At 40.8% G+C, this 24,706-nt stretch overlaps 1 long non-coding RNA gene across 18 annotated transcripts in view; it reads left to right on the top strand.

Moving 5' to 3' along the window:
- LINC03082 (long intergenic non-protein coding RNA 3082) overlaps positions 1–24,706 on the top strand; it is a 145,761-nt gene that overhangs the window by 78,907 nt on the left and 42,148 nt on the right. For 4 of the 18 annotated variants that reach the window (NR_187461.1, NR_187462.1, NR_187445.1 and 1 more), the window contains one exon: positions 13,259–14,976. This is a non-coding gene — a long non-coding RNA (long intergenic non-protein coding RNA 3082). Of the gene's footprint in view, positions 1–4,120; positions 5,034–13,258; positions 14,977–17,420; positions 19,135–24,706 lie in introns of those variants that run through there. The other 14 variants (NR_187459.1, NR_187460.1, NR_187448.1 and 11 more) reach the window with 12 other exon arrangements.

Below are 24,706 nucleotides of genomic sequence, written 5' to 3'. Positions count from 1 at the left end.
GTTGAATTTTTTCAAAGGCCTTTTCTGCATCTATTGAGACAATCATGTGGTTTTTGTCTTTGGTTCTGTTTATATGCTGGATTATGTTTATTGATGTCCGTATATTGAACCAGCCTTGCATCCCAGGGATGAAGCCCACTTGATCATGGTGGATAAGCTTTTCGATGTGCTGCTGGATTTGGTTTGCCAGTATTTTATTGAGGATTTTTGCATCAACGTTCATCAGGGATATTGGTCTAAAATTCTCTTTTTTTGTTGTGTCTCTGTCACGCTTTGGTATCAGAATGATGCTGGCTTCATAAAATGAGTTAGAGAGGATTCCCTCTTTTTCTATTGATTGGAATAGTTTCAGAAAGAATGGTACCAGCTTTTCCTTGTACCTCTGGTAGAATTCAGCTGTGAATCTGTCTGGTCCTGGACTTTTTTTTGGTTGGTAAGCTATTAATTATTACCTCAATTTCAGAGCCTGTTATTGGTGTATTCAGGGATTCAACTTCTTCTTGGTTTAGTCTTGGGAGGGTATATGTGTCCAGGAATTTATCCATTTCTTCTAGATTTTCTAGTTTACTTGCGTAGAGGTGTTTATAGTATTCTCTGATGGTAGTTTGTATTTCTGTGGGATCGGTGGTGATATCCCCTTTATCATTTTTTATTTCGTCTATTTGATTCTTCTGTCTTGTCTTCTTTATTAGTCCTGCTAGCAGTCTTTCAATTTTGTTGATCTTTTCAAAAAACCTGCTCCTAGATTCATTGATTTTTTGAAGGGTTTTTTTGTATCTGTATCTCCTTCAGTTCTGCTCTGATCTTAGTTATTTCTTGCCTTCTGCTAGCTTTTGAATGTGTTTGCTCTTGCTTCTCTAGTTCTTTTAATTGTGATGTTAGGGTGTCAATTTTAGATCTTTCCTGCTTCCTCTTGTGGGCATTTAGTGCTATAAATTTCCCTCTACACACTGCTTTAAATGTGTCCCAGAGATTCTGGTATGTTGTGTCTTTGTTCTCATTGGTTTCAAAGAACATCTTTATTTCTGCCTTCATTTCGTTATGTACCCAGTAGTCATTCAGGAGCAGGTGGTTCAGTTTCCATGTAGTTGAACGGTTTTGAGTGAGTTTCTTAATCCTGAGTTCTAGTTTGATTGCACTGTGGTCTGGGAGACAGTTTATTATAATTTCTGTCCTTTTACGTTTGCTGAGGACTGCTTTACTTCCAACTATGTAGTGAATTTTGGAATAGGTGCAGTGTGGTGCTGAGAAGAATGTATATTCTGTTGATTTGGGGTGGAGAGTTCTGTAGATGTCTATTAAATCCACTTGGTGCAGAGCTGAGTTCAATTCCTGGATATCCTTGTTAACTTTCTGTCTCGTTGATCTGTCTAATGTTGACAGTGGGGTGCTAAAGTCTCCCATTATTATTGTGTGGGAGTCTAAGTCTCTTTGTATGTGCCACATTTTCTTTATCCAGTCTATCATTGATAGGCATTTGGGTTGGTTCCAAGTCTTTGCCATTGTGAATAGTGCTGCAGTAAACATATGTGTGCATGTGTCTTTATAGTAGAACGATTTATAATCCTTGGGTACATACCTAGTAATAGGATTGCTGGGTCAAATGGTATTTCTAGTTCTAGATCCTTGAGGAATCGCCATACTGTCTTACACAATGGTTGAACTAACTTACACTTCCACCAACAGTGTAAAAGTGTTCCTATTTCTCCACATCCTCTCCAGCATCTGTTGTTTCCTGACTTTTTAATGATCGCCATTCTAACTGGTGTGAGATGGTATCTCATTGTGATTTTGATTTGCATTTCTCTAATGACCAGGGATGATGAGCTTTTTTTCATATGTTTGTTGGCCACATGAATGTGTTCCTTTGAGAAGGTCTGTTCATATCCTTTTCCCACTTTTTGATGGGGTTGTTTGATTTTTTCTTGTAAATTTGTTTAAGTTCTTTATAGATTCTGGATATTAGCCCTTTGTCAGATAGGTAGATTGTAAACATTTTCTCCCATTCTGTGGATTGCCTGTTCACTCTGATGATAGTTTCTTTCACTGTGCAGAAGCTCTTTAGTTTAATTAGATCCCATTTGTCAATTTTGGCTTTTGTTGCCATTGCTTTTTGTGTTAATCATGAAGTCTTTGCCCATGCCTATGTCCTGAATGGTATTGAAAATGGCTAATTTTTTAAAAACCTGAAAACAGCTATTGGTGAAGCTGGGTAACCACAGGAGCTCTGGTGTCCAGCGCACCCCTTGACTAGACTCTACTCCCTCTGCGGGTGTTCATCTTGGTAAGCTCAGCCTACGGTAAAAGGATATTCAGTAACTGTCTGCTAAATTGGGGAATGAAGTTGGAGCTGTGCAGTGCATGGCTGGCCCCTCCCATGAGGTCACTCAGGAGTTGCTCATTCTCATTTGAAAGGAGGTTGTCGTAACATAGTTTTATCAATGGTTCAGTTGGCAAGAGTATGTTTACTGGTGCGAATACAAATGGATTTGTCTGGAGTGCAGTGGGAGAGAGGCCAAAGTAGTCAGTCCACTTGAGGGCTGTGGGCGGGTGAGCAGGAAGCTGGATCACAGATATGGAGAAGGGGAGGGAGTCCACCAGCTCACTTCAAGTCAGGAGCGGGGGACGAGGAGCCTGGGGTGGCCTGGAAATAAGGCCATTTCAACCACCGTCTGTTTCCTGCAGATCTTTTCGAAGCCCCCCACCCCCACCACCTTTTTAAAATCTCCTGTGGTTTTGTGTACTTCTGCCTACATGGGTGTTTTTAATGCTGGTATTTACAGATTGTGTGTGTTTGTTTTATCTTAAATCTCTTACAAGAACTCAAGCATAAAGCACTCCAACAATTTTTAAAAATTAAACTAGTTTGCATGATTGCTTTGGAGGGCCTGGAGAAACAATCTCAGAAACAGTGGGTGCAGCAGTTTCTATATTAATTTTTGTACTATTGTACACTCTTTCTCTTCTAGAGCAGGCAGTGAGAGTAAGAATCGTTAGACCTAAATTTTTTTTGAAAGTAGGCTTGAAATGTTGCATTTTATTTATCTTGTATTTTGAAGATTACTATGATTTGAACATAATAGTTTATGATATGTATGATTGTGCCTTGGGAAATGTATGGGCTGAGTTTTGGAGAATTAAAATCTATTGGTCAGATTTGACAAGTGAGTACAATCACTCCTAATTATACGGAAGTGCTTTCGAGACCACTGTGCACGCGAATAAACTTTACAATCCTGGCTGTTGGGCAGAATCTAAGCTGTCCATTTACAAAAAGCATTTTCCAGGCCCAGTGTTGAAATATGAAAGGGCTCCTCCCAGACTTTCAGTCCAGCTCAATGTTTCAAGCTTTCTGCATTAGACCATGAGCACCTACAAGGGCTGTTTGGATATATATATATTTTTTTTCTTTTTCTTTTTCTTTTTTCTTTGAGATGGAGTCTGTCTCTGTCACCCAGACTGGAGTGCAGTGGCGCCATCTCGGCTCGCTGCAAGCTCCGCCTCCCGGATTCATGCCATTCTCCTGCCTCAGCCTCCCGAGTAGCTGGGACTACACGCCTGGCTAATTTTCCTATTTTTAGTAGAGATGGGGTTTTGCCGTGTTAGCCAGGATAGTCTCGATCTCCTGACTTTGTGATCTACCGGCCTTGGCCTTCCAAAGTGCTGGAATTACAGGCATGAGCCACCGCGCCTGGCCTGTCTGGATATTTTTAAGGAGGATTAGGGGATTGGGACGGGCTCTCTTGGTTAAGGAGAAGAAGCTATATTTTCCTTTTTTATTTTGTAGAGACCATGAAATAAGACATTGCTCAAAAGTGTCCTATCAGGGGGCAACCACCAAGCAGGAGAGGAGGGCTACCTCCTTCCCAAGCGCTGTTTCAACTGGACCCACCTCCTACTCCCCCTCTCCACAGGACAGTGCCTGAAATGCCACTCTAAGATTCAGTTCTTGAATCATAAGACTGTTCCAAGCAAGAAGTAGATAATTAAAAAGTGTTTTTTTTGCGTTGGGCAAATCCTGTGAAATTGCAAATATACTTACCGGTTATCAATGCTGGAGAGTGGGGGATATTACACAACTTTTTTTTTTTTTTTTAAAGTGAAAGGAAGTTTGGACTGAGAAGTCAAAGTCCTTCCCTCTGTGTGTGGACTTCAGTGGAACTCTCAGGTCACAGAGATTCAGGGTGGTCAGAGGCGGTTTGATGTTTTGGGGAGAAAGAACAGCCGTGAAGGATTCTGTGATGCAGGAGAAGGTGGGAGGCCTCAGGACAGAATCAGCAGGTCACCATGCTTTCCTGCGTCATCCACCTGTGGGCCTCTAATGTGTTTCTATGAAGTTTGCATTAAAGTTTCAGCCACTATTTTTCAGAAACATGGTCAACCTCTCCTTCCCTCCTCTATCTGCTGATAGAGTTCTACAGAAAACAAGGGAATGACTTGAGGAGGTGAGGTAATGCGAAAGGGAGACAGGTCTTTTGGGTTTCTTTCTCCATCGGCTCAGCTGTCAGAATTGCAATTTTGTTTAAATAATTTCTTATGCTCAAATTTATTCATCCATTAAAAGGTGCCATAAATGAAATGCAACTGCCATTTCTTATAGGGGGATTCTGAAGGTTGTTGGTGGATTCCTAGAATGTAGCCCGCAGAACTGTGCCTGGAACGATACCGGATCACTGCAAAAGTACAGCGAACAGGGTCGCTTTGAATATTAAAGGAGGACTTTTTCAAAGTGTATAGAGAGCAGTCAAAAGATCGCCACAGTTGCTCTGTGTTTTCGTGAGCCAGCTTTCTCGGAAGGTGAGCTGGTTCCGCTCTGCCTGGGTTTACTGTTTCAGAGGAGTGGTTCTCAGCTGCCGGACTGGCATAGTCCTGTGTTCACACAGTTTCCTAATCCTGAAACCAGCAATCACAAAGTCAGTTCCTCATCAAGAGATCAAAGTCATTCATTTTGGATACAATCATATTTTCAGGCTAAAGGGAAGGTTGGGAAGGTCAGGCATTAGAATGCTGGAGGAGTGTCCTTGGCAGAGAAGGTAAGATTGCAGACCTTGTTGTTTTTTTCTGTCTCCTTTGAGGCTCAGACGGTCTTGGAGAAACCCAGTCCGGTATTTGGTCTGAGTGACAAATCCATTGCATTTTTAATTACTGCATATCATAGGCGGTGAGACGAGACGGGTAATGATGATTATTCAGCTCAAGAGACTGGGAAGTAGTCATCTGGGTATAATTAGGGAAACGGCTGCTATCTAAATACATAACTTAGTGTAGGTCTCCAACGTTACACACTCTCAACATCCCATTAATGTGTGAAGTGATGGAGGACCCTGTCATATGATTTTAGAAGCTGCTTTGTCTGAATGCCCCCTCCCCCTCCAATGCTTGAAGTCTTGCTGAGAATTTTAAGTAAATCTGTTTTCAGTTAGATTTCGCTCAACGCAAGCAGTTCTGTTTTGTAAGTTCTTCAAGTCAGCTAAATGCTTAGGGAAACTGGTGTTTCCGTGTGAGTTAGACTCCCTGGTGGTGATGAATGCAGCTGCGAAGTGTTCTCCTGGGAGAGGTGGAGGTGGGGGGTGAAAGCGCATTTCAGAATCCCGCGCTCATCCACGCTGCGGCAGTGACTCTTGTTTCTGGACCAACTGGGCCACTGGCGTGCTTGGTGGTGAGGACTGAGGGTCCCTAGGTCATATGTGATTGACTTCTAGAAAGTCCCTAGACTGTTACATGAGGAATTGCATTTTCAAGGGAGATCTTTGAACGATCTGCCCCAGAGATTGAACAACATCAATTAACAGGAATGCAGTGGGCAGAGGACCCAAAGGGTTTCATTTTCTGTCTTTTTTAAACAATCAAAATGAAAAGGTGAGTGAGTGGTCACTGTGCCTAAAGATACATCTGTTTTTAAAAAGTCCTGTAAAAAGTCAAGAATTAATGGAATGGCTCTATTTGTGTTTATGTTTTTTAGTCAAGGAGTGCTGAGATATTTTTCCCTCAGGAAAGAGGTAGAATTCATGCTTCCTGAAAACCATTTTCTTGACGCTCAGTGGAAAGTGAACCCTAAAATTGTGTGGTCTATGGGAAATAATGGCTAGGAGATGAGGAGCAGCCTTTGTTTCCTTTTAAGTTTGTTTCCTATTATTCACACGTGTACTTTTCTGGGATTTTGTGAACATTTACAATTCACGTGAGATAAATGAAGTAGCGTATTTCCCCCTCTGTAGCTAGCATGATTTGCAGGTTCTTAAAGAAGTTCAGACTGTGTGTGTGTATCTGTGTGTGTGCGACTATGTGTGGTGTGTGTTTGTGTGTGTATGTCTGTGTGTGGGGTGTGTTTGTGTGTGTGTATGTGTCTGTGTGTGGTGTGTGTGTCTGTGTGTGGTGTGTGTGTCTTTGATGTGTGTGTGTCTCTCTGTGGTGTGTGTGTGTGGTGTGTGTGCCTGGGTGTCTGTGTGTGTGTGGTATATGTGTGGTGTGTTTCTCTCTGTGTGTATGGTGTATGAATGGTGTGTGGGGGGTATGTGTGTTTGTGTGTCTGTGTGGTGTGTGTTTGTGTGTGTATGTGTCTGTGTGGTGTCTGTATGTGTTTCTGTGTGTGTGGTGTATGTGTGGTGTGTGTTTCTGTGTGGTGTGTGTATGTCTGAGTGTGTGGTGTGTGTGTGGTATCTGTGTGTGTGGTGTGTGTGTGGTATCTGTGTGTGTGTCTGTGTGCATGGTGTATGTGTGGTGTGTGCGCTGTGTGATGTGTGTGTCTCTGTGTGTGGCGTGTGTGTGTGTGGTGTGTGTGTGCCTGTGTGTGTAGAATGTGTGTGTGGTGTGTGTCTGTGTGTGTGTGTAGTGTGTGTGTGATGTGTCTGAGTGTGTGGTGTGTGTGTGTGGTGTGTGTGGCTGTGGTGTGTCTGTGTGTGGGGTGTATGTGTGGTGTGTGTGTCTGTGTGTGTGTCTGTATGTGTGTAGTGTGTGTGTGGTGTGTGTGTGTAGTGTGAGTGTGTGGTGTGTATGTCTGTGTGTGGCATGTGTGTCTGTGTGTGCAAGTGCCAATGGAGTGGCTATCTCAGTACATTTCCGGGGAGGCTGGGCTGTGGGGAAAGAGGCCAGGTCTTGCACAGCAGGGCCCTGAAGGGGACGACAGTTCCGGAGCAGGACCCCTAGAAGGTTGATGATGGTTGCCATGCTCTTCTGACAAGGCTGGGAAACAGGATGGGAGGGACGCGTCTATCCCTTCGGTGATGGACGGCCGCATCAAGGAGTGTTTCTTGGAGATGTTTTTGAGGTTCTTGGGATGAGTTTCAACCTTCCTGCCAGCAACCACAATGTGATCTACCAAGGCCTCTGGAGTCCCCAAGTGTGGAGAACGGGATCTGCCCGCATGTCTCCCACTTAAGCCGGGAGGTTTCTGTGCAGTCCAAGAGCTCGGGGTGGGTGAGGGTTGGCAGGCATTCCGAAGCTGACAGTTGACCTGAGCCTTCACAAATGTCCTTCCTGCAGAACTCTTCAAGCTCGGTTTCCGTTGAGTGCTCTCGCCTTCTTTATAAGGACAGAAGTTAAAGACACAACCAATCCCCCAAGGGCTTCTTAAGTAAAGGACTCACGAGGGAACAGCTGATTCCCACTGGGGACCTTCACTTGCTCATTTGCAAGGAGGAGGCTGAGATGTTCTTTTCCAGTTTGAGCTGAGTGGGCAGATAAAACATTTTTTCAGGCAAGCGTGCTGAGAAAGCTTTAAAATCACCTTCGTTTTTTTCCTCAAGATTGTTTTGGCTGTTTGGGGTCGTTTGTGGTTCCATAAACATTTTAGAATTACTTGTTTCTACTTCTGTGAAAAATGCCATTGGAATTTTGGTAGGAATTGCACGAATCTACAGATTGCTTTGGGTAATATAAACGTTTCAACAATGTTAATTCCTCCAGTCCATGAACACAGGATAGCTTTTCATTTATTCATGTCTTTTTCAATTTCTTTCATCAGTGTTTTACAGTTTTCTCTGTACAGATCTTGTAATTCTTTGGTTAACTTCATTCTTTTTTTTTTTCTATATAGAGCCCTTACAAATTTATTTTTATTACTTTTTTATTATTATACTTTAAGTTCTAGGGTACATGGGCACAATGTGCAGGTTTGTTACGTATGTATACATGTGCCATGTTGGTGTGCTGCACCCATTAACTCGTCATTTACATTAGGTATATCTCCTAATGCTATCCCTCCCCCCTCCCCCCACCCCACAACAGGCCCTGGTGTGTGATGTCCCCCTTCCCATGTCCAAGTGTTCTCATTGTTCAATTCCCACCTATGAGTGAGAACATGTGGTGTTTGGTTTTTTGTCCTTGCGATAGTTTGCCGAGAATGGCGGTTTCCAGCTTCATCCATGTCCCTACAAAGGACATGAACTCATCCTTTTTCATGGCTGCATAGTATTCCATGGTGTATATGTGCCACATTTTCTTAATCCAGTCTATCATTGTTGGACATTTGGGTTGGTTTCAGGTCTTTGCTATTGTGAATAGTGCCACAATAAACATACGTGTGCATGTGTCTTTATAGCAGCATGATTTATAATCCTTTGGTTATATACCCAGTAATGGGATGGCTGGGTCAAATGGTATTTCTAGTTCTAGATCCTTGAGGAATCGCCACACTGTCTTCCACAATGGTTGAACCAGTTTTCAGTCCCACCAACAGTGTAAAAGTGTTCCTATTTCTCCACATCCTCTCCAGCACCTGTTGTTTCCTGACTTTTTAATGGTTGCCATCCTAACTTGTGTAAGATGGTGTCTCATTGTGGTTTTGATTTGCATTTCTCTGATGGCCAGTGATGATGAGCATTTTTTCATGTGTCTGCTGGCTGCATGTCTTCTTTTGAGAAGTGTCTGTTCATATCCTTTGCCCACTTTTTGATGGGGTTGTTTGTTTTTTTCTTGTAAATTTGTTTGAGTTCTTTGTAGATTCTGGATATTAGCCCTTTGTCAGATGAGTAGATTGCAAAAATTTTCTCCCATTCTGTAGGTTGCCTGTTCACTCTGATGGTAGTTTCTTTTGCTGTGCAGAAGCTCTTTAGTTTAATTAGATCCCATTTGTCAATTTTGGCTTTTGTTGCCATTGCTTTTGGTGTTTTAGACATGAAGTCCTTGCCCATGCCTATGTCCTGAATGGTATTGCCTAGGCTTTCTTCTAGGGTTTTTATGGTTTTAGGTCTAACATTTAAGTCTTTAATCCATCTTGAATTAATTTTTGTATAAGGTGTAAGGAAGGGATCCAGTTTCAGCTTTCTACATATGGTTAGCCAGTTTTCCCAGCACCATTTGCTAAATAGGGAATCCTTCCCCCATTGCTTGTTTTTGTCAGGTTTGTCAAAGATCAGATAGTTGTAGATGTGTGGTATTATTTCTAAGGGCTCTGTTCTGTTCCATTGGTCTGTATCTCTGTTTTGGTACCAGTATCCTGCTGTTTTGGTTACTGTAGCCTTACAGCATAGTTTGAAGTCAGGTAGCATGATGCCTCCAGCTTTGTTCTTTTGGCTTAGGACTGACTTGGCAATGCGGGCTCTTTTTTGGTTCCATATGAACTTTAAAGTAGCTTTTTCCAATTCTGTGAAGAAAGTCATTGGTAGCTTGATGAGGATGGCATTGAATCTATAAATTACCTTGGCCAGTATGGCCATTTTCACAATATTGATTCTTCCTATCCATGAGCATGGAATGTTCTTCCATTTGTTTGTATCCTCTTTTATTTCGTTGAGCAGTGGTTTGTAGTTCTCCTTGAAGAGGTCCTTCACATGCCTTGTAAATTGGATTCCTAGGTATTTTATTCTCTTTGAAGCAATTGTGAATGGGAGTTCACTCATGATTTGGCTCTCTGTTTGTCTGTTATTGGTGTATAAGAATGCTTGTGATTTTTGCACATTGATTTTGTATCCTGAGACTTTGCTGAAGTTGCTTATCAGCTTAAGGAGATTTTGGGCTGAGACAATGGGGTTTTCTAAATATACAATCATGTCATCTGCAAACAGGGACAATTTGACTTCCTCTTTTCCTAACTGAATACCCTTTATTTCTTTCTCCTTCCTGATTGCCCTGGCCAGAACTTCCAACACTACGTTGAATAGGAGTGGTGAGAGAGGGCATCCCTGTCTTGTGCCAGTTTTCCAAGGGAATGCTTCCAGTTTTTGCCCATTCAGTATGATATTGGCTGTGGGTTTGTCATAAATAGCTCTTATAATTTTGAGATACATCCCACCAATACCTAATTTATTGAGAGTTTTTAACATGAAGGGCTGTTGAATTTTTTTCAAAGGCCTTTTCTGCATCTATTGAGATAATCATGTGGTTTTTGTCTTTGGTTCTGTTTATATACTGGATTACATTTATTGATTGGCATATGTTGAACCAGCCTTGCAGCCCAGGAATGAAGCCTGCTTGATCATGGTGGATAAGCTTTTTGACAGGCTCTGAAATTGAGGCAATAATTAATAGCTTACCAACCAAAAGAAGTCCAGGACCAGACGGACTCACAGCCAAATTCTACCAGAGGTACAAGGAGGAGCTGGTACCATTCCTTCTGAAACTATTCCAGTCAATAGAAAAAGAGGGAATCCTCCCTAACTCATTTTATGAGGCCAGCATCATCCTGATACCAATGCCTGACAGAGACTCAACAAAAAAAAAGAATTTTAGACCAATATCCTTGATGAACATTGATGCAAAAATTCTCAATAAAATATTAACTTCATTCTTAAGTATCTTACTCTTTTTGTTGCTATTGTAAGTGAGATTGTTTTCTTGGTATCTTTTTTGAATAGATTGTTATTGGTGAAGCGGCATGCCACTGATTTTTTGTATGTTGATTTTGTATTCTGCTATTTTATTGAATTCATTGATTAGTTGTAACACTTTTTTCTCCATGTTATCTGCAAAGTGGGATAACTTTCCTTCCTCCTGTCTGGTTTGGTTGTCTCTGATGATTTTTTTCTTGTCCAATTGCTCTTGCTATTACTTCTAATATTATGTTGAATAGAAGTAGTGAGATTGGGCATTTTTGCCTTGTACTAGATCTTAGAGAAAAAGCTCTGTTTTCCCTTATTGATTACAATATAAGCTGTGGAATTTTCACAAATAGCATTTAGTATGTTGAAGGAATTTTCTTCTGTACTTATTTTGTTGAGAGTTTTTATCATGAAAGGATGTTGAACTGTGTCAAATGCTTTTTCTCCATCGACTGAGATGACCATGAGGTTATGTGGTATGCCACACTGATTGATTTGCATATGTTAGTGGAGAAAGGATGGTTTCTTCAATAAATTGTGCAGGAAAACTGGATATACACATTCAAAGGAATGACAATGGGCTCTTGTCTCACACCATACACAAAAATCAGCTCAAAGTGAATTAAAGACCTAAACAGAAGACTTGAAACTAAAACTCCTGGAAGAAAACATAAGAAGAAAACTCCTTGATATTGGCCTTAGCAATGCTTTTTTTTTTTTAATCACACCAAAAGCTCAGGCAAAAACAGCAAAAATAACCAAGTGTGACTATATCAAATTAAAAACTTTGTACAGCAAAGGAAACAGTCAGCAAAGGAAAGAGACAGCCTATGGGATGAGACAACATATTTGCAAACCATACATCTGATTAGGAGTTAGTATCCAAAACATATAAGGAACTTGCACAACTAAATAGCAAAACAAACAAACAAACAATAAAAAACCCAAAAAACAAAAAACAAATAATCCAATTAAAAAATGAGCAAAAAGTTTGCAATAGGTCCTTCTTTTTTAAAAGAAGACATACAAATGGCCAACAGATAGACAAAACAGCCTCAACATCTGTAACCATCAGGGAAACGCAAATCCAAACCACAATGAGATAGCACCTCACACCTGTTAGGATGGCTGTTACCAAAAAAGCCAAGAGAGAACAAGAATTAGCAGGGATGTGGAGAGAAGGGAACCCTGGTGGGAATGTAAAAAAGAGCTGCCATTATGGAAAACACTATGCAGTTTCCTCAAAATAATTAAAAATAGATCTACCACATGACCCAGAAATCCCTCTGTTGGGTATAAACCCAAAGGAAATGAAACCAGCACCTCACCAAGAGATCTGTGCTCCTATGTTACTGCGGTACTATTCACCATGGCCAAGATGGGGAAACCACCCCAATGTTTGTCAGTGAATGAATAGAGAAAGAAACAGTGGTGTGTGTGTGTGTGTGTGTGTGTGCCTGTGTGTGTGTGTACATGTCATCCTTAAAAAAGAAAGATATCTTGCCATTTGTGACAACATGGGTAAACCTGGGGGATGTTATGCTAAGTGAAACAGGCAGACACAGAAAGAAAAATATTTACATGATCTTACTTATATGTGGAATTTTTTTTAAAAAGTCAAATACATAGAAACAGAGTAGAATGTTGGTTACCAGGGGTAAGGAGGGGAAGAAGATAGGGAGATGTAGATGGAAGGGTACAAACTTTCAGGTATGTAGACTGAATAAGCCTAGAGCTCTGAGGTCCAGCAGGTGCAATATAGTTAATTACATTTTTTTTGTGTGTGTATCCTCAAAGTTTGCTAAGAGATTCGATTTTAGGTGCTCTTACCACATGCACACACGAGATCTCTAAGTGAGGTGATGAATGTTAATGTGTTTGACTGTAGTAATCATTCACTATGTGTATATGTGTCAAAATATGCTACAGACCTTAAATATATATACAATAATAATAAAAATAAAGACACATATAAAACATTTTAAAAAAACATAAAATCACATCTCCTCTTCCCTTGGACTTGAGATTGCCTATAAGACATGAACTCCCGAATCTCTGGGCTGTCCCATTTAAGGTGAGAAAGGAACAATCCTCTGGGTGCTTTGTAGAAATCAAATAAGTGATTCAGGGTTGGTGTAGTGAAGTAAACTACTTTTGTTCAATCATTGCCCCTAGAACTTAATAGCTGTTAGACCTTTATATCATGAATTCTCATTCTTGCATATAAAATGGTGATAACAAAATCCTTAATGCACTGATTAATTTTGAAGGGTTAGTGAGATATTTCAAGTAAAATTGCTCAATGCCATGCCTAACACAGAAAGTGCTTCATAAGGGCCAGCTGCAATGATGATGGCAATGATGATGACTCCATGAGAATGGGAAGATGGGGATTTGGGCACCTGCACTGGTCCTGCCAATGGGATGAATACCCCTGCGATGCCAGGCAAGTCATTTCCCCTCACTGACCCTCAGCCTTCTCACCTTTTTTTTTAATGTAGGACTAAGCCAGTGGATCACAAACATCCTGGAGAGCAGTGACTCTGTGATTCCATCACAAGAATATGAAGGACTGAGAAGATCTCCAGCTCTGCCCATTGCACCTTCCCATTGAGAAGCAGCATGGCACCCTGGTGGCAGGGGCTGATACTCAGCCGGGCCAGGGTGCTCTCCTGTTAACCATAACCAAGCTCACAGGACATGGGATGAGCCCACTGTGTGACACAGGGAGCGGGACACAGTCTGTTAAGTCTTGCACAGCCATGCTCTGCCACGCAGGCAGGCCTTTCCTTGGCCTCCCTCTCCCTGTTCGTGCTCATGTGAACATCCACCTACGTGGATAGACTGGGCTTTGGTTCATTATTGCTCTGTGAATTCCTCGAACTTCCGCATCTGCCCAACCTCCCCCACCCCATTGTTTTCATTGTGTTTCACCAAATGGAAATTCTAGAGTAAGCATGTGAGTCCTCTCCCAAACTTGTTCACTGTTGAGAGTGCTAAAATGCTAACCCCAGATGCTAACTGAGGGGTAGGGTTACCTTATCTTTAGAGCACTGCGAATTGTATGTTAAGTGGAACTTAATGAAAAAATAGTTAATTGACCAACATGAATATCCCCTGAACAGAATCTCCCCTGAACAGAATCCTACAATGAAACTAAGGGAGATAAATAAAGCTGTTTACCTGAAAGCTCTCTCTAATCAAGATCCTTTGAAATTTATAAAACATGGTCAATATTTGCACTGGACTTTGTAAAAATAAAGCTTGATAAGAGAAGAGTTTGAAGTGAAATGCTGCCACTTTCTATGCAATATTTGATTTAAATTTAATTCCTAGAAACCTCAGATGAATGTGGTTCATGTATCAAAGCACTCAGCATTATTTATCGCGGCCTTAAATACACAGTGAGCTTACATGTGAATGAATACATATATTATGTATCTCTCTCTATATATATACTATATAGATAATATAGTATATATATATATATAGTGTATATATACACTATATATATCGTGTATACATATACTATCTATATAGTATATATGTATATGGTATATATATCTATCTATAGATAGATAGATAGATATACTTAAAAAAACCCCATTCCCTTAAGAGCAGTTAAGGGACACCATATATCAAATTTCTTGGCACGTTGTGAATATTAATATCCCCAAAGTGTCAATGTCAAATGATTTGACTTGAAATCACTAAGCTTGGTAATCTCACTATTTTTAAACAAGGCCTAACATCTTTTAATCTTGAATACCAGCAAGTTCTCAGACTTCAGTTGTTTATTTTCTCTTTTCTTTCCTTTAAAAAATTCTGACAAGCTCTTTTCCTTGACACAAAGAAAGCGTATAAATTTTATTTTGGTTTGAACAACAGAAATTTGCCTCTCAGAATTCTGGAGATTGGAAAGTCTAAGGACTAAGCTGCTGGCCAATTTAGTTCTTAGTGAGGACTCTCTTCCTGGCTTGTAGATGGCTGCCTTCTCACTGCATCCTCAGAGAGAGAGAGAGAGAGGGCTCTTGTGTCTCTTCCTTTCTCATAAAGCGTCAGCTCTCTTGTATTAGGGTCCCACCCATAATTACCCCCTTATATGCCCCATCTACAAATAGAGTCACATTGTGGGTTAGAGCTTGGCAGTGAATAATTATGGAGGTTATTGTTGGCTTTAGAATTTCGTGGTAGAAACAATAAATTGCCTTTGTGTTTACGTTTTATTTTATTTTTTTAACATTAACATGTATTTGCAACAATGAAAACAGCAGGTGAATACATTCTGGGTAGGGGAAAAAGTTAGAGGAGTGCTATCCAGAAGTTATATTTCCTAGGAATATGGGGAATAAAACATTCAATATTGGTGGTTCTAATAGATGAATTAAATTTAATTTGATGTGGAGTGGCCATGTCCCCTGTCTCGGGATGCCGTGTGAAGCCTGGCTCTTGTGACAGCTGTTTAGATTTGCTGAAAGATGTTTTAAGTGTCCTAGGAAAGAGGTTTCCATTCATTCTAGAACTGATAGTTTTCTCTTAAAGTGTTAATTTACATTTTAATGTTGATGTGGTATCCATCTCAGGTTAATGTTTGGCACTAGGTAATTGAATTTTTAAAAATCTCATTTTATTTTCTGTCTGCTTTTGGGAGAGAGAAGTGGTTAGGTTTTTATTACAGGAAGGATTTTTCTCTTTCTCTATTATAATACCTGAAAGCAAATATATATAAGCTATACATGAAGTCATTACAATTCTTTTTTCTCATTTTATTTTCACTTTTGGGAAAGATTGCTGCCAATATTTGTGAGATCTCTTTTCAGTTCTATCTTTTACTTCTGCATGTCCGTTATCTTAGCCATGCAATGTTTAGTTTGAGGCAGTTTCACCCAAGGGACATACCTTAGAATAGACTCTCATGGCCAGTAATGAATGACTGATGGAGGGAACAGCAGTTTATAGGTTTTTTGTTGTTTTTAAGGAGAAAAATTAACACCCTTCATCAAACCTCCTCTTTCTTCCTTCTCTCCTCCCCTCCATCTCACCCTGCCTCCCCTTGGGATCTTACTCCTGTGATTAGTTTGGGTTCCACACAAAGAAAGATTTATTACTTTAATGTCTTTGTGATTTAGTTTTATGTGATCTTCCTAGGGACACCAGGGAGTACACGCTCCCCTTTCTGAATATGTTGTAAGCTCCTTTGAGGCAAAAATGAATGTTCCTGTGTTACAAGAACAGAGCAGCCCTTATCATCTTCTCGAATCTTATCTTTCTGAGTTAAACATTTGGCATCAGTGACGAAGTAAGACCAGACATTGAGGATGAGACGTCAAATCCAAGTTTGTAGAAAACACACAGTTGATGCATCTCACATCTCTCAAATTCTTCTCTGTGGACTCTATGCTTACTGTTCCTGAAGATGTTCACCAAATGGGACCAAACCTCCAAAAAAGGAGAATTTTAATTTCTTCTTACCCTACTTAGATGCTGGATTGCATAATGTGGTTGTAATCTTTAACTATTTTTTTAAAAAATATTTGAGATTAAAAAATACTTAGAGGGGCAATAGTTAGGGCAGGGGAGTGTTCAGTCCCTTTATGAAGATGTTTTTTGGCTGGGCTAGCACCTCGGCCTTGTGTTGAAGGAGTGAGAAGTAACTTGTACCACCGGCCACAGCTCTAGCTTGTGTTGGAAGTTTTGCAGAGTTGTTGATCCTCTGCCAAGTAGACCAGTGATTCCACCTAAATGGGTAAGTTGGTTTTATCATCCATTATTCCACGGAGGTGTATATTGGCTCAGGTTGAAATGTTGTTGATATCCACTTTGCACTCTGAGCAAGCCCGCCACATTCATGATTGGATTGATTGGTGTCTCACAAGAACTCCAGAGACACACCATCTCTCCTGTTTGGCAGGTGATGAACCTGAGGCTCAAAATGAACAAGTGACTTCCCAAGGCCAATGATAAGCACTAGACCATTAATTTCTTCTTTAGATGTCAAGTCCTTTCCATTCTGCACTGGCACAGACATCTCAAGTTGAGGCCTATAAGCAAACACCTATGTCCTAACCAAAAGACTAGGATTCCCAAAGAAATTATACAAGATGATTTAAATTTCCTGGACCTTTCCTTTTATGGTGTGCCTATCAGTTAGGATTCTTTACAAATAACAGATAACCCAAATCAAAATGCTTAAGCAAAAAACATGATTTTTTAAAAATCTCATGTAGCTGAAAGTACAGAGTAGGGCAGATATCAGAGTTGATTGATTCAGAGGCCAGATGATGTCATCAAGACCTGCATTCTGCAGTCACGCTTCGTCTGAAAGCTGGGTCCCTTGTTTTCTGGGAAGAATTCAGGACAATTCGCAGACGGAGAGCATTTTCCCAAGCAACAATTTTGAGAGGAACCCTGATCAGATGGTTTATGTAAAACGACCAGATGCTGTGGCCAGGGAAGGAAAGATGCTGCCCTGGTCACCCCTGGCATCATGTAGTGTCAGCCTTCCCCATAGCCCATGGAGCAGGGGAGGATAATGGGATAAAAATCCACATGGCCTCTTTAAGGAGAAGCGGGTGGGAAGGTGAACACTGGATAGTAAACTAATAACGGCCATCCGGTGTTCACATGCTACAGACATCAAAGCCTAATTCTCTTCGTTTTCAGATAGAATCTTCAACTCGGAGGCACCAGTCTCTCTCACTTGAGGAAAGAATGCGAAGGAAGGAATGGCCTGACTTCCTCATGTGTGCCCTGTTTCTCGGTAGGCACCATGTGGGGGCTGCCACACATGTGCCGAAGCTTTGGGAACGTTCCGTTTAAATACCAATTTCGATGCCAATGCCTAACATGGAGCACAAATATCCAGGTACCTCTCTGATTTCTTCTCTTATGCTTCAAACTCTTTGAGAACAGAAATTTTTCTCATTTGTGTTTGTATCATCTGTAGTATTTAGCAATGCCTTGCCTATAGTAGGTAGGTGCTTAATGACTATTGTATTCCATTAGGGCCTATTCAGTGATGGTTTAAGTTTAGAAAAGAGTTTCCCTTGCATTCAGTTTGCCAGTTTTTGATCAGCATCATTAAAGGAGAACTAGCTTTACCTCTTTAATAATTTGTTTAATTCTAAATCAGTAAAATTTTTGTGGTATGCTGACGACATGGCCTAAGCTATTGCAGGAGGTTGAGATATTCAAGGTGATAGAAAAATATCTAAGACCAAATTCCTGTCCTGAAGAAGCTCACATAGTTGTGGGAGCCATAGATAAGAAAGAAGCATTTACGAAGCACATCAAAAGTGTCTCAGAAGAGCTGTATACTTGGCCATGGGGGCAGCAGGTAAGAAGAGGAGGGAAGGGAAGAGGAGGGGAGGGAAGAGTAAGAGAGGGGAGGGAAAAGGAGGGAAGGGGAGCAGAGGAGAAGACTCCCGTAAATCACAATATCCAAATTTGGCAACTATTTTGTTCTGATTTTATTGGTTCTTCACCCAAAACATATTGCCTAAGACACCCCTTGATTCAACCTTCCTCCCTCTTAATTTCCAGAAATATGAAGTTGTCAGTAAGGTCAGCCAAAAATCACGTTTGACATGTGGTGGAAATTCTGGGTGTCCTTTGTAGATGAAACTCATATAAGCAAAAATTCTAGTGGCATTTTGGTGGGAGAAGGAAGAAAGGGAAGAGTGAGGTTAAGGAAATATTTCCAAACGTATTAATTGAACGTGTACAGGTATAACAACACCTCCAACACTGTCCTCTTCTAGTCTGACTCCTGGGGGGAAAGGGGGAGTGAGACTAGAAAGGGTTGTCAGGGTGGAACACAGGGCTGGAAGTTGGAAGGCATCCCTGGGTGCTCACCTTTCAGCTCCCGCTCAAGCATCCCCTCAGCCTGCACACCTCCAGGACTTGCTGCTTTCTGTGCTGTTCTCAACACCAGGGTCCTTTCCTCCAGAAGTGGGACCTCTTAAGTGTGAGAAAAGAACTTGTTCTTTTAAGATGGTACCTGAATGACTTTTGAAATTTAATTAGAACCTGTAGTTTTTCAAAGCCTCCTGTTATAGACCGAATGGTACCCTCCTACATTCATATACCGAAGCCCTGACCCTGGCGTGGCTGCATTTGGAGATAGGGTCTCTAAGGAGGTGATTGAGGTTAAATGAAACCATAAGAATGGAGCTCCAATCCAGTAGTGCTGGTGTCCTTGCAAAGAAGAGGAAGAGGCATCAGAGATGCACAAGCATGGAGAAAAGGCCATGTGAGGACACAGCAAGAAGGTGGCTGTCTGCAAACCTGGAAGAGTGTCCTCACTAGAAGCCATCCATGCTAGCACCTTGAACTCCAGAACCATGAGAAAATAAATTTCTGTTTTTAAGCCACCCAATCTGTGGTATTCTGTTACGGCAGCCCAAGTAGACTAGTATACCATGCAAATAGACCACCATCATACACTCTAGCATCAACGGGCACAGGGGGATTCCCTCAGCTCTCCATGTTGGGGCATTTCCTAGTAGTTTGGAAGGTGCTTTCTATGGGATAATTCATACTCATATTCCTAACAATGACTTTTAATTTGTTTTTAAAAGTGCTGATTAGCCTATGATATATTACAGATGGCTAGGCTGCCATGTTTGTATGTGCAGCTGTTTCTTGAATTGACACTTCTACGTTTTCCTACAGCCAAGTGTATTCATTACAACATTCACGGTCAACAATAGTCCATTAAGCAACACACTTCTGACTGTGGGCAGTGGCTTTTGGAGTTATCACTAATTGTGAAACTCCAGAAAGGACAGGGCTAATGTCTTTGGATAATGAAGGTCACCTTCTAATGACACATGAGCCTCTCTGGCCAGTCCCGTGTCTGGTCTGGCCCCCAGCTTACTGACTTGTAAGGATGGTTTGCACTTCGGTTTCGTCTTTCAGTTCCGGGGTTGTGCACCTGTTGCTTGCTCAGGAAGTTTTGTGTGATAATTTGTGGCCCAACTGCTGACTTCCGTGCCCATCACCAATGGCTATGGCCAGCACACTCCTGGTCCAAAGTGGTAGGAAACTTGGTCCAAAGTGGTAGGGGAAGCTTGAGGATTTAGTTTATCTTTCTTTCTAGAGAAGGCTACTTGCATATTAGGGAGTACCGACACTCTGGTGTGAATAAACAGACACCAAACTGAACTCTTTAGAGCACTGCTGGGGCTATTTACTCTACTTAAATAATTTTGTAAAACTAGGCTTGTTAAAATGGACACTAAAATAAAAACCCCTTGAGTTTCTTTGATAAGGAGAGTATCCTGACCAAAGCACCCTTTTCAAGTCTAACCACCTGGTAGATGCAGGAACATCCTTGTAGATTCAGCATCTTTTCCACTGTGTGTGGTTACAGCCATGGAGAAAAAGTTACATCCCTGTACTTCCACTGATTTTTTTCTTTAATAATACTTTCCGTGTTTTAGGATGTTAGATATCAGAGATTTCACAAGCTCTGACTGTAATAGGAGAATGCATAATGTGAATTATGCACTGCAGAGGTGAGTACACAAGTTGGCTAATGATAGGTTACATGGCTTGCAATTTGGGAGCCAGAAGCAAGTCAGCCCAGGGGATCCCTGTGGTGTGGAGCAGCTCTGTGTCTTGACTATGGTCATGGGTGTACAAATATAGATGTGATGAAGCTGTATAGAATTAATACGCATACACACACACACACAGAGTACAAGTAAACCTGGGGAAATCTGCATAAGACAGGTGGATTGTCTCAATATTAGCATCCTTGTTGTAATATTGTACTATGGTTTTGAAAGAAGCTAACATTGGGGTAAAATGAATAAAAAGTACATGGGCTCTGTCCCTATTATTTGTTACAACTGCATGTGAATCCATGTTTATTTCCATAAAAATTTTAATTTATGAAAGTTAGATTTACCTCCTAAATATAATTTTAAAATCTCTAGATGTTACCAAAACAGTGGGCGAAATATTATCTGATAAAGCACAAAAGTGCAATCGCTCTCTTAATTACTTTAACTGTGGATAATGTTTTCCAGACTGTTCTACGGATGGGCATGAAAAATCAATTAACATGCACTCCTGTTAGGCTGAAAGATGGTATCCCTATCCCATGGAAGTCTTGGGGCAGATAAGTGAAGACATTTGAACATTTAGAACTATGCTGCTGAAACAATTTCAAATTTTTTCTGATTATAAACATGAAATCAACCATAAAGAAGAAAAAATCTATTATCCCAAGATTCAGAGATGACCATGGTTAACACTTTATTATAGTTTCATCAGTCTTTTTCTCTTTTCAAATATATATTTACTTATAATAAGTGTTTCCCCGTTTTCTAGGAAACCCTCATAAACGTTTCCACGGCTTTCTGAAGCACATTCAAAGTGTGGTTGCACAAGTCTGGTACTCTCACAGTGCACATCTGTGTGGCTGTCAGGCTGGTGTCCATGCTGATGGGCTGGCATGTGTTCCAACTGGACATGCCATGCTTTATGAAATACAGCTAGGAATTATTTTGAATATCACCCCTGGATTGTACTATTTGGATTAACCATCTCTTTGATGTTGGGTAGGAAAGTTGTTTCGAAGTTTTCATTATGATAAACCATGCTGTAATGGAAATATTTTTGCCTAATGCCTTTTCTGAATTTTAGGTTATTTATTTAGGATAGATTCCCAGGAGTAGAATTAATGGATAAAAATGTATGACTGTTTTTCAGGCTTTTAATATGCATTGCCATATTTCTTTCCAAAAAGGGTGCAGTCTTCAGACATACAGACTGTGCAGGGGTTTCCAACAGTAGGCAAGCTCTCTCTCCTCTTTGTCTCAACTTTTCTGACGTTATAGCTAAAATTTGATACATACCTCGTTGCTTTAATGTGAAATGAGGTCAGGTATTTTCTTAAATGTTTGTTAATGACATTTGTGTTTTTCTTGCTTATGAATTGCTTACGTATATACTTTGTGTATTCATTGGGACAGGGGCCAAATCACGCCACACTAATGTTACTTGTCATGAATATTTGGATATTAATGGCTTTCTTTATTGAGAACTTTAGTACTTTGTAATACTTAAAAGTGTGAGAGACTGGGGACATTCAATTCTTTTTTGTAAACTTAACTGTCATCTTCTTGCTATTTCCATGTTGCATTTAGAATACAGATACCCCTTGACTTACAGTGAGGTTAAAATCTGATAAACCCATCATAAGTGGAAAACACTGTGAGTCAAAAATGCATTTAATACATCTAATCTAACCACCATCTCATAATCTAGCTTACTTTAAACATGCTCAGAACACTTACAATAGCCTACAGTTGGGCAAAATCATCTCACACAAAGCCTGCTTTGCTTGACTATCTCATGTGACGTATTGAATACTGTGCATTATGTCAAAGTTGCGATGGTTTCGTGCCATTGTGAAGTTGAAAAATTGTAAATCAAACCATCATGAGTCAAAGGCTGTCTGTGCAGTGAGGAGAGTGAGGTTTGATGTGAAGCCCAAACTACGGGCAGTGAAGGAGTAAGCGTGTATGTGGTGTTATCCAAGTCCAGGCTGCCATCTCAGTGCCCCAATCCTGGCTGATGCAAGGACACACTTTAAGAGAATAAAATCCACTTTCCGAATCCCCAACCCACCTGTCTGTACCCTGCTTACTCCTTTCTGGGCCCTCATCCTCTCCCCTCTCTCCTCTCCACAAAGAGCACATTGAGAATATGCACTCTCAGACCCCATTGCCTATAAGATGTGGAGTTTTAAAGCATTAGTCTCTGTTGGAGATTTTGCATGTCAATAGATTCAAGTCCCTACAACACACTGGAGAAACAGAATGTGAACCTTTAGGCGGCAGCTGAGAAATGAAGCAGGATTTGGAGGTTGCTCAATTGTTCTTGAGTCAACTCTCCAAGACCTAATGATTGGAACCCAGTTGGTAATCACATCATGAGAATGAAAGCGTGATTCTATACAATGACACTTTACATATTAATATGTTCATGCCACTGATGATCACATCAAGTGCCAGAAAAAAAAATTTGTCACCAGATTTCTCTATTCTCAAGTCATGTCTCTAATTCTTGAACCCCAAAAAAGTAAACAAATATTTATTTTTCCGTATGAATAAGGACATTTGGGAAATTGTGGTCTTAGCTCTGTATTTGTAAACTGTTATGACTCACTCGTTATTGCATTAGGCCTCAGCATTAAAAGCTGCCCAGATATTTACGCTTAGTACATCCCCAAAGTACAATACATGAACTTCTTTCACCAGTTGGAAGCAATAGCAGAAAATATGTAGGATTTAATGATGACCTTTCTCTATACCTTGATTTTGGCCATGGAGTAAATAGATGGAAATGACAGTGTCTTTTGCCACTTCATTTCTTCCTAAATGTCCTGCAAGTCTCCCTGGAGGTGCTGCTTTATCTGCAGAACTTTTCCAGGCCCAACTGGGTTATGGCCCCTCCAGGTATAACACACAATACTGTGTCTGGGCGGCTGTCTGCAGGGAACAGCATGTGGTAGATTTGGGGGAACTCATCTGTACCTCTATTTGCTGTCTCCCCAATGTCTCGGGGACCATGTCCTGCTCACTGCTCTGTCCCTGGAGCTATAAGCTCTTCTGGTATATAATGGGCACAAAATGAATATTTTTATCAGTGAGTGAATTTAGTGGTAGTGTGTGCCTGCAAAGACCGAGCCTGAGTCAGAAGCCTGCTCGGCAGGGCTGGGGGTGCAGCCCTGGAGGGTGGGCCTCCCCAGCCAGCAGACCCCACCTCACTCTCTGCATCATTGTCCTCACCAAGAGCACTGTGCTGCTTCCTCTGGGGAAGCCCAGCAGTGGACATTAGATGGCTGCCACCACCCTGTAGAGTTTTACCTAAAAACTTCTGTATCTTGGGTGAGGAGGTATTTTTTATTTTTTGTTTTTTATTGGTTTTTGTCTAGGAGGACAAATCCTAGCATATGTCACAAGAAGCTTGACATGGAAAGGACTCTTAAGTCCATTAGGCTTAATCAACATCCTATATCCATCACAGAGTGTATGTCAGGTGTTTTAATAATTTTTTAAATTGACAATAACTATATTTATGGAGTACAATATGATGTTTTGCTTTATGCATACATTATGGAAAGGTTCAATCAAGTTTTGTTTTTCTCTATTACATCATTGTTCTTATTTTTTAAGAGGAGCTTTCTCCCTAATGCAAACAGATCCATGCTTACCGTGACAACGACCTTCTTCGACATGAAATCCGGTGTGGGTACTGACTATTGCAGGGTCTGTTTTGATTAAGCAAGATTTTCAATGGTCAATTTTAAGCCATTGATATAAATGTACAATTGATGACTTTTCTTTATTGTTTAAGCAGTATTCTTTCTGAATCTGCAATTGCTGCATCCAATTCTTCTGTCATGCCAGGACACCCCATTCCTGGGTAATCCCGAACAACCCCTCTTGCACAGGAGAAGCATGCAGAGGACTTTTTTCTGGGTAAGGATGTAGGGTACATTTGTTTTCCAGTGGAGGCCAGGTGGAATCAATGTCCACAGAATGTCGGTTCAGCCTGTGAAGCAGAGATGAAGGTTTCTCCTCTTCATTGGATGCCCTGGGCATTGTACAAATGAAGCTGACCATACCTTGTGGATAGCATTTAAAGGCAGTGACTCCACTGGGCTTGCCTTAGAAATGGGGCTGAGTCTCACTTGTCTTTGCCTTTTGTGGAAAACTTATTCGAGGAAATCAAGGAAGTGCTGGGCTCATTAGATCCATTTCAGTCTCCTAAGATGAAAAGCTGCAGATGCATTTCTGGGACTCTTCATTCCTCTCTGAACCTCCCAGTTTCCATCTGGTCCAACCTTGCTTCAGCTGGAACTGTTTTCTTTGAGAAAGTCTGATGGTGATGAATTCTCTCATGTTTTGCCTATCTGCAGATGTCTTACTTTT

This window comes from Homo sapiens, chromosome 13, assembly GCF_000001405.40.
Source record: "Homo sapiens chromosome 13, GRCh38.p14 Primary Assembly".
NCBI lineage: Eukaryota > Metazoa > Chordata > Mammalia > Primates > Hominidae > Homo > Homo sapiens.
The sequence above is the reverse complement of the archived record's forward strand: the minus strand, read 5'-3'. Positions and strand labels throughout refer to the sequence as shown.